This window comes from Homo sapiens, chromosome 1, assembly GCF_000001405.40.
Source record: "Homo sapiens chromosome 1, GRCh38.p14 Primary Assembly".
NCBI classification, from domain to species: domain Eukaryota; kingdom Metazoa; phylum Chordata; class Mammalia; order Primates; family Hominidae; genus Homo; species Homo sapiens.
The window spans coordinates 32,875,139-32,885,487 of record NC_000001.11 but is presented as its reverse complement, the minus strand read 5'-3'; the positions used below and the strand labels follow the sequence as shown (position 1 = coordinate 32,885,487).

At 55.2% G+C, this 10,349-nt stretch overlaps 1 long non-coding RNA gene across 2 annotated transcripts, besides 1 other annotated feature; it reads right to left on the bottom strand.

Annotated features, from left to right (window-relative positions):
* Positions 2,763 to 9,519, bottom strand: LOC105378631 (uncharacterized). Of its 2 annotated transcripts, none has more exons than XR_947160.4 (3): positions 9,273 to 9,519; positions 3,455 to 3,589; positions 2,763 to 3,323 (listed from the first exon to the last, which is right to left on the bottom strand). It is a non-coding gene; the product is annotated as an uncharacterized LOC105378631 (long non-coding RNA). The 2 variants fall into 2 exon arrangements; XR_001737962.2 differs by lacking the exon at positions 9,273 to 9,519 and adding an exon at positions 8,513 to 9,161.
* Positions 8,701 to 8,870: an enhancer, noted in NCBI's record as "experimental_6918 CRE fragment used in MPRA reporter constructs". NCBI's record gives its function as "activates a minimal promoter by MPRAs in K562 erythroleukemia cells, with activity observed for the introgressed 1:33342304 variant allele {active_cell/tissue: K562}" and the evidence as "EXISTENCE:reporter gene assay evidence [ECO:0000049][PMID:34662402]".
* Positions 9,520 to 10,349: the final 830 nt, after the last annotated feature.

Below are 10,349 nucleotides of genomic sequence, written 5' to 3'. Positions count from 1 at the left end.
CAGCATTGTTCTGTCTAGATAGTGGGACTACAGGCGCAGACAATAAACAATGGACACAATATACATGTCGATATTAGACATGTGTTTTTAAACGTTGGGATTTGGGTGTGGCAGTTAGAATGGTAACTGCCATTGGGGCCATCCAGGGCCTTGGGGCCTATGACAATGACTTTAGGCTTTTTATTCCAGATGAGATGGGAAGTCCTGGGGGGCTTTGAGCAGAGTGAGAGGGTGTGACCTCCATGTGGACAGCTTCCTTGGGTTATTATGTCAAGAAGAGACTTTGAGGAGTTGGGGGCAAGGTGGGAGAAGGGGCCATTTCAGGCTGAGAGATGGCCGGGGTGGGTCTGGTTTCTGGATTTACTTCGCAGGTAAAGCCGGCAGCATTTGCCATCTGCCCAGAGGGCCCTTCCCAGCCCAGAGTTTCTTCAGCATCGGCAGCTCAGCCCCTCCTGGCACCCCAGGGCTCCGCCTCCAGGCTCCCAGACTGAGCCTCTCAAGTCCTCAGAGTCTAGCCTTAGTCCCTCCTGCTTGGAGGCAGGTGGGGAGGTCTCGGCTGGAGGAACTGAGGAGCCGGGGTGGGGTGGGGACAGCTGGGCTCTCCGGAACACCGGCTTCACTGTGTGCCTTGGCTCTGATGTTGGGACCCCCAGTGGAGGCGTGAGAGACACCAGATGAGCGTGGGTGGTTCCCAGCTGCCTCCTGCGTGAGGACCTGGGGGCTGGGAGAGACTCGCTGCTCAGCCCCCACCCCAGGGCCCTCCAGTGGCAAGCTCCCTCCCATTTCCCCACCAGGCCTGGGGGGCCAGCTGTGCTGGGGTCGGGGAGACGGTCCCACCCTCCCTCACCTCCTCAGCCCCCTCCCCCATCACCCCTTCCTCTCTCTCCTGAGTGGTCTGGATCCTCCTCTTTATCCTTGGGGGACTCAGTTTATCCCCATCTTGGGCTGCTCAGCTCCCTCTTTGCCTTCTCCCCACTTCCCCAGTTCAGCCTCCTGCAGGCTCACCCCCTCAGGGGCTGACTTCTCCCCACCCCCACCACCAACCACCTTTCTTCTTTGAGGGTGACTCTGGTGCCCTGCCTTCGGACCCCCAGTCTGTGTTCTGTCTCCCCAGTAGATAGGGGTTTTGGAAGGCAAGGCCATGTCTCGCATCCCCATGAGCCCCTCCTGCCTTTGTCTTTCCCTGCACCTAGACTGTGTAGGTGGTTCTGGAGGCAGAGTGTGGGCCCTAGTGGGTTCTGCTGCTACTTCCCATCAGCCACCTGCACCTTTCAGAGGGACTAAGAAGCATTGCAAGCCCACCCCCCAACAGCCAAAGAAGGTTCAGGGCTCCCCACACTGCACAACACGGCCTTTGGTCCAAGCCCTAGTGCTCTAAGATATGGCCATGAAAAGGGGGGCTGAGGGGCAGCTGGGCAGCGGGCCTGGGTCCCTCGATCTGGACAACCCAGAGCAAGTCTCTTCCCCTTTCTGAGCAGAGAGTTCAGACAGGTGATGTAAGCATGAATGAATGAGGCCTCCTGACCCTGGAAGCCTCTTGTGTGTGGGGCTGTGTCCTTGCTGGTGATACTTAGTCCCTCCCACCTCAGACTGAGGCACCCAGAAGGAGGGAGAGGCAGGGGTGGGGTAGAAGCAGAGGCAGGTAATTGAGAGAGCCAGGCAGTGGCAGGGTCCATGGAAGGGCGAGCAAGTTCCAGGGGAGGGGAAGTCCCCAGCATCTGAGGAGGCAGGAGAGGGCACATAAATCAGGGCCGACTACCCTCCTCTAGCACTACCAAGGGAGGGACAGAACTGCTCCTGGGATGCCAGAGAGAGAGAGACGTGATATCTCAAGCACCTATAGTGTATAGAGTTCTCTGCACACGTCACCTCACTGGATCTTCAATGATTCTGAGGAATCAATAATGTTAACTGCCATTTTACAGATAGGAAAACTGGGGCTCAGAGAAGTAAAGTCACCTGTCTGAGGTAACACAGCAAGAAAGCAACAGTGTCAGAATTTGAACCCAGTTCTGGCCAAGTGTGGCGGTTCACATCCATACCCCCAGCACTTTGGGAGGCTGAGGAGGGAGGATCACTGAAGGCCAGGAGTTCAAGTTCAGCCTGGGCAACGAAGTGAGACCCCGTCTCTACAAAAAAATGCAAAAATTGGCCAGGCGCGATGGTTCACACCGGTAATCCCAGCACTTTGGGAGGCCAAGGGGGTTGGATCACGAGGTCAGGAGATCGAGACCATCCTGGCTAACATGGTAAAACCTCGTCTCTACTAAAAATACAAAAAAATTAGCCGGGCATGGTGGTGGGCGCCTGTAGTCCCAGCTACTCAGGAGGCTGAGGCAGGAGAACGGCGTGAACCCGGAAGGCAGAGCTTGCAGTGAGCCGAGATTGCGCCACTGCACTCCAGCCTGGGCAACAGAGTGAGACTCCGTCTCAAAAAAAAAGCAAAAATTAGTTGGGCATGGTGGCAGGCGCCTGTAGTCTAAGCTACTTGGGAGGCTGAGGTGGGAGAATTGCTTGAGCCCAGGAATTTTGAGGAATTTGAGCTATGATTGCGCCACTGCACTCCAGCCTGGGCAACAAAGCAAGACCCTGTCTCTAAAAAAAGAAAAAATTGAACCCAGTTCTGTGTGACTCAGGAGCCCAGGCCCTCTCTGGAAACCTCTCAATGAAGTGGGTGAAGGTGGCCCCTCCCCAGCCCCCTCAGAGGCCCAGCCACCCTACCCCCATCCCCTACCCCCCATCCCCCACCTTGTTGCCTCTTTGGTCCCAAACGGTTTGGAAAATCCTGACAGGAGCAGATGGTGGGACAGATGGAGGGAAAAGCATTTCGGGGCTGAATTACACAAACAAACATTGAAAAAGTGATTAAAACCCCAAGCCACCCCTTTCCAAAAGGCCCTGCCCACCCCAGCCTAGAGCACAGCGGGCTCTGAGGTGGGGGCCTGGGGGTCTCCGAATACCCCGCATCTCAGCGCCAGCATCCCATCTTCTGCCCAGCCCCCTCTCTGCCAGGGACCACCCCCGGACCAGAGCCTAGGGCGGCAGAGCTGCCAGGAGCACAGCCCGGGAGGGGGAGGGGACGGGCCTGGCTGTTCCCAAGGGAGCTGGGCCCTAAGAAACAGCACGCTGGGGCGGGAGGTGGGAAAGTCCTGGGAGCTGGAACCGCAGACCCAAAGTCAGGGATGGAGTGTGAGGTGCTGGGGGCCCTCAAGCAAAGTCCCTCACTTTATATGCGGAGCCCAGGTCACACAGCAGCGTTACCCACCCCGTAGAGGAGCGGGACAAGGTCCTTGACCTCTGGAAGCTTCGGTTGGTTTCCTGGTCTGTAAATGGAAACAATAATAATAGCACTGGAAGGGCTGCTGTGAGGATTAAGAGGGAGGGAGCTGCGAGGTGCCTGGCATAGCGCCTGCGCCCAGTCAGTGCCCAGCTAATGTTGGCTGTCAGTACTCACAGGGCTCCACGTGGCTCCTAGGCAACCCCTGGTGTTGGGAGATCAGGAAGGCTGGGGCTGCTTGAGGTGGTCCTTCTCCAAACAGAAGTCTAGGCTTGAAGATCCTGCTGGGAGAGCCCCTGAGGCTGCTGAGCTCTGCAAGATGGAGATGGCTCCAATGGGTCCCCAAGAAGAGCCCTGACTCCTGGGTAAAAGCACCCAGTTCCATGCCAAGTCCACTGTCAGGGAGCCCAAGAGATAGAGAAAGTGCTGCATCTTAGCTGGTTCCTCAATATGAGAGTACAGATTTCCCGGGGTGACAGATCCAGGTTCAAATCCTGGCATGGCCTTTTGTCTTTTGGGGAAAGTTGGCAAAAACAACCCCTCTGGTCCATTTTCTGTAAAACCTGCCTTTCCAGCCACTTCCGGGACTTGCTGCCAGAAGCCCGCAGACACCCTGACGTAAGCCTGCCAGTGGTCACCCCATCACCTTCTCCCACAGCCTGTCCGGCCCTTGGGCCCCCTCCATCCACCAAAGGAGGCTGAGGCCCCACCCCATCTAGGACCCCTCCCTCTTCCTCACTCCCACACCTGCCTTCTTCCCAAGTCCGGCCCATTGTAGCAGAGGAGGTCTCAGGCCTGCCCTCTTCTCCACAGTGCCACTCACTTCCTGGTCATATCTGCCTGGTATTACAGCTCTGGCCTTCCCACAGCTCCCCTGCTCTGATCAGTTTCTCTAAATCTGATTACCTTCCTCCCTGCTTAATAACCTTCCATGGCTCCCTGCTGCCTACCAGAGGCTCTCTGAGACATGCCTTAACCCTCACCTTCCACCCCATCTCTTCTCCCTCTACCTTCCTTTCCCCTAATAATGTCCCACCAGCCCAGCAACCCCTGCCCCGGATGACCAGGATCTTCCCCACACCAGATGAAGGGGCTCCCTGACCCTCTCTCAGCCCTAATCTCTCCCATATGGGAGTTGGCCTTGGTGGGATGGGTGAAGTAATGCCAGCATCTGGGGTCACATCCAGGCCACACTTGCCCAGCAGAGTAGTCACTTTTCTTTTTGCTGGTGAAAGCAACTCATAGCTGGAAGGGCCTCAGGAGTTGACCAGAGAGGGACAGTGACTTGCCTGAGATCACCCAGCCAGGCCTGCCCTGTTTCTGCTCCCCTCAATTAGAAGTGGCCCCTTCACAGCCTCTGTAATCAAAACATTGAGATCTTTCTTCCATAATTCCATTGCTGGGGAGCTCAATCCTGCCACTTCTCTTGGTCTATCCTGGACGGGACCGTTTGAAAATCATTCCTGGGTCATGGCAAAGGGACCAGTCACTTCTTGGAAGTGGAGTGGAGGGCAGGAGGCTGAGTCTTCACTTCTAACTTTATATTCCCTTCTGTCTGAATGTATTAAAACCTGGACATGGAGGATATTTGAGACTTGAGTCAAAATTAAGATTTTTTTTTTTTGAGACGGAGTCTCGCTCTATTGCCCAGGCTGGAGTGCAGTGGCGCGATTTCGGCTCACTGCAAGCTCTGCCTCCTGGGTTCGTGCCATTCTCCTGACTCAGCCTCTCGAGTAGCTGGGACTACAGGTGCCCGCCATCACGCCCGGCTAATTGTTTTGTATTTTTTTTTTTTTAGTAGTGACGAGGTTTCACCGTGTTAGCCAGGATGGTCTCGATCTTCTAACCTTGTGATCTGCCTACCTTGGCCTCCCAAAGTGCTGGGATTACAGGCATGAGCCACCGTGCCCGGCCAAGATTTTTTTTTTTTTTTGACACGGAGTCTTGCACTGTCACCTGGGCTGGAGTCCAGTGATGCAATCTCAGCTCACTGCAACCTCCGCCTCCCAGGTTCAAGTGATTCTCGTGCCTCAGCCTCCCAAATAGGTGGGATTACAGGCATGCGCCACCATGCCTGGCTTCTTGGTTTTTGTTTGTTTGTTTTTTGAGATGGAGTTTTGCTCTTGTTGCCCAGGCTGGAGATGGCGTGATCTCGGCTCACCGCAACCTCTGCCTCCCAGGTGCAAGTGATTCTCCTGCCTCAGCCTCCCAAGTAGCTGGGATTACAGGCATGCACCACCACGCCCGGCTAATTTTGTACTTTGAGTAGAGACAGGGTTTCTCCATGTTGGTCAGGCTGGTCTCGAACTCCTGACCTCAGGTGATCCGCCCGCCTCCGCCTCCCAAAGTGCTGGGATTACAGGTGTGAGCCACCATGCCTGGCCTAATTTTTTGTATTTTTAGTTGAGACAGGGTTTCACTATGATGGCCAGGCTGTTCTCGAATGCCTGACCTTGTGATCCACCCGCCTCTGCCTCCCAAAGTGTTGGGATTACAGGCGTGAGCCACCAAGCCCAGCCCCAAATTAAGATTTTAAAAGAAACTTCCTCGGGCCAGGCGCGGTGGCTCACCCCTGTAATCCCAGCACTTTGAGAGACCAAGGCAGGCGGGTCACGCGGTCAGGAGATCGAGACTGGCTAACACGGTGAAACCCCGTCTCTACTAAAAATACAAAAAATCAGCCGGGCCTGGTGGCAGGTGCCTGTAGTCCCAGCTACTCGGGAGGCTGAGGCAGGAGAATGGCGTGAACCTGGGAGGCGGAGCTTGCAGTGAGCGGAGATTGTGCCACTGCACTCCAGCCTGGTAGACAGAGCGAGACTCCATCTCAAAAAAAGAAGAAAGAAACTTGGGGAAGCCGAGGCATGAGGATTGCTCTCAAAAAAAAAAAAAGAAAGAAACTTGGGGAAGCCGAGGCATGAGGATTGCTCGAGGCCAGGAGTTTGAGACCAGCCTGGGCAGCATGGTGAGACCCCATCTCTACAAAAAAAAAATTTTTTTAATTAGCTGGGTGTGTAATCAGGAGGCTGAGCCAGGAGGATTGTTGAGCCCGGGAAATGGAGGTTGCAGTGAGCGAGACCCTGTCTCTAAATAAATAAGTGAAATAAAAATTAAAAAGTGCCCCCTAAACCGGGATTTGCCTCCCAGAAGCCTTCCAGCGGCCCAGCTCTGCTGGGGTTGTCCAGGCTGAACGCTGCATCCACTGCCCATAGCCCTGGGGGATTCTCCTCCCAGCCTGCTCCTCATGACCCAGAAAAGTGGTTGGAATTCCCAGCCACCTGTGTGGTGTGGCTCTGGGGGCGGAGGGACTGTGCATGTAGCTGAGCCTTGCCTCCCTTGCAGAGCTGCTGTGGGGAACCTACAAGACACTGTGGAGGGTAGTGCATGTGAAGGAGGCTGCTCCGTGACACTTCAGGGCTCTGGGATACACATTCACACAGCTTTGCCGGCAGGTGCCCTAGTGAGAGGAAAGGTCACACCCCAGCTCTAGACTGCTGCTGGCACCCCAGTTCCCTCCCTGAGACTATGCATGGGGTTAGAGCCAGAGGCAAGCTAGAACCCAGCTCTGTCTCCGAGCTCTTTCCAGTGGGCCAGGCTTCCTTGGAGGAGTGAGAAGACTTCCCAGAGGGTCCAGGGGTACCCAGAGTTCCAGAACCCCACCCGGAGTCCGAGGTTGCCCTATCCCAGGAACCCTGTGCTCCCAATTTGTCTCCCTCCCTGGGAAGACCAGGCCAGCTCTCATTCCTGGCACCTTAGGATCTACCGGAGGCTGAGGATTGCCTCATTGTTTCCATAGTAACAGTGAACAGCAGGGCCTCCTGAATCACTGCTGGGAGACTGCACTGGTACCTGCAAGTATGCATTTGCCCCAGGAATGCCTGGGATGGGGCAGCCTTTGGTGCATGCACACAAGCATATGCACACCTTTGCACACATGCACATCCAATGCACACCCCTTCCTCCTCCCAAACACACACACACACCCTTGCAAATGCAGGCACGGGCATGGCGCTTCAAGCCCTGGCCCGCTGACCCAGAAGTGGGTCAGAACATCATCCTGCCTGACATAACCCACTCCCACAGCCACCCTGGCCCACTCAGATGCAGAGAGCATCTCGGGGAAATGAGGGACTTGCACTTTATAATAATACCCACTGCAACATTTATAGATACTTAGCACGTGCCAGGTCCTGCGCTTTCCTCTTCACATGTAACATCTCCTGTGTTCCCCAAACACCACGCTGGGATGGATGCCAGGAGAGTGATTTGCCAGAGGTCACACTGTAGTGCGGGGCTGAGCCAATGTGTGAGCCCAAACTGTTTGGCTCCAAGCCTTGGACTCTTGCCTTCCTCACCAGACCCCTTGATGCCAGACCCATAAGCACTCACCCCGGGACCCACAAACACAGATGGGTGTGTCTGGCAGCAGGTGGGACCAGAGCCAACTAGAATGCCAGCATTCCTGGGCTTGTCACTCTGGGCCATCATATTCCCTCTTCAGCCTCCAGCCATTCCTGGGTCGGAGGTATGAGGGGAGGTTTAGACAACACAGGGATTTTTTCTTTCACTTATTTCTTCCCAGTGTGCAGAAAAGGAACTTTGAGCAGCAAGAACAAGACCCACTGAGAATCTCCTGCCTGGGAAGCCACCCGGGTTCCCTTCCCTTCCAGCAAAGGGATGAGTCCAGCTGCTGGATCTGTCCTCCAGCCTTCTCTGAGACCTCTCATGCAGACTTTTAACAAAGGGGCCTGAGGCCAGAGGCTGGGCCAGCTGCATCATCCTGAGCGGGGAGTTGGGTGGGCCAGGTAGGGGGATGGCTTCCAGGAGGCAATTTTCAGCAAAAGGATGGTCTGGCAGTGTTGCCAGGAAGGCAGCAATGCCCCTCACTAGAGGCATCCCAGGTTGGCAGGCACTGGATACACCCTGGTGAGGAAATTTGAGACAAGCAATGACCGAGTCCCTGCAACATCCTCGTCATCATCTTTGTCGTCATCGTAGCTACCACTGATTGGACACACTTTGTGTCAGGCGCTTTAAGATATGATACAACTGCCACTACTGCTAATAAAAATGGCAGCTGCTAGGAACTCAGCCCTTATGTGGCTGATCTTCATTGACTCCTCACAGAACCCTATGAGGCAGGCACTATTGTTAGGCCCATTTATAGATGGGGAAACTGCGGCTCAGAGAGGTTCAGAGACATGTTTACAGGCAGAGGCAGCAAGATGCAGGCTCTACCTGGCTGCTGCGTCTGTGGTCGGCTCGCCTGGGAGTTGACCTCCTGAGAGCTAAGCAGCAGGCAAGGCAGCCTCTGCCAGCCGGGGCCTCCTCCTGGGGCTGTTCCTGCGCTGGGGCAATGTGGGCTTCACTGTGGCTGAGGTGGCGCCCTCTGCTGGCTGTGCCCAGGCTGTGCAGAGCCACGAGGGAGGTCCTCCGTGGACTTGGGTTGTGGGAGGTGGACCGACCCTGGAGACTCAGGGTCAGACCTTCACTGCGGATGGCCGCTGTTCGCCAGTGAGAACAGATGCCAAGGTCACTCCGGCAGTCTGGGGCTGAGCTGAGGAGTGAACGTAAAGGCAGTCTTCACTCCCAGGCTTTTGTCCTTCTACCCCTCTCTCATCTTCCCCTAGCTGCCTCCACCTCTTCCACTGCCTTCCACTCTGAGCCTCTAAAATGGGGCCTCTGGCCCCACTGTTTCTGAGGAATCTGGGTGACTGGTGTGCAGCTGAGAATCTGTCTCCAAAGGCAAAGCCAGGGTCCAGGCTTTGAGGCCTGGAGCTGCCACTGACTGGCTTTGTGATACTGGGTGAGATTCTCAACCTCTCTGAGTGCTGTTGGATGGGAGCCTTCCTGTGTAGACTCTGAAGAACTGAAGAGATTTGAGGAGGTCTCCTTTACCCGATTAGAAGGCTCTATTCTGCCGCTCCTCCTTCTCCCTTCCCCCCTCCCCGTCCTCCTCCCTCCCCATCCCCCCCACCCCCCGCCCCCGTCCTCCTACCTCTTTCTTTCTCTCTTCCTCTTCTCCACCCCTGACCAGAGGAGGCATTTTAGGCTCAGAAAGCTAGAGTTACTTGGCCCTATGTCACCCAGCCAGGGGTTTCTGGCTTCAGAATCTGGACTTTGGAGGGCTGACCTCTGCCCTGCTTCCTTTTCATCTCCTCCTATATGTCTGATCCATCAGCTCCTCCTGCAAAAAAAAAAACAAAAACAAACAAAAAAAAAACATCCCAAATCCTCCATCGACTTCTCTCTCTGTCCCCTGCCACCACCCAGGCCAACACTGCATCCTTTCTGGCCGTGAGACCGCAGCACCCTCCTTGCTTCCTCACAGGGCACCTGGCCCCCCACTCCTGTTCTCTGCCATCCAGCCTGCACACTGGAGCGGGCAAAGTGAGCCTTTTAAAATGCAAATCACATCCCATCTCATCTCCCCTCGAAGCTTCCCATTGTGAGTGGGATCAACCTAACCTCCCTTCCACACCTGGAGGCATGTGTTATCCAATCCCACCTGCCCTCACTGCCTCCTTCTTGCTTATAAAGCTCCAGGCTCACTGGCTTCTTTCTGTTTCCCCAACATGCAAGCTTGCTCCTGCCCCAGGGCCTTGGTACTTGCTCTTCTGGGGCTGGAGCTCCCTTCCTGTGCTGTGTGCTGCTGCCTCCTTTGCCTTCAGGTGTCAGTTCAGGTGACTCCCCCTCAGCCCACACCATGTAACGTCGCCCCACCCAGCCACTCTCCACCACATGACTTCATTGTTTTCATAGCCACTCTCGGTCTCTGAAGATATTTCATTTGGTCATCAGCTCACTTGTTTATTGCTTTTCTCTCCCCCTGGAATATGAGATTCACATGGGGCAGGGACCCTGTTGTCTTGGTCACAGCTGTGATGCTGCTGGCAGTTAGTAGGTGCTCAATAAATGTTTGTTGAATAAATAAAGCCCTTCCTAGCCCCAGCTTCTCTTGCAAGCTCAGAACAATCTTTCCAATCTAGTTCTACTTTTCCTGCTCCCAATGTCACAGCTCAGAGCCTACAGCAAACGCCCACATAAACATTCTGCCTCTCCTGCTTTCCCTCCA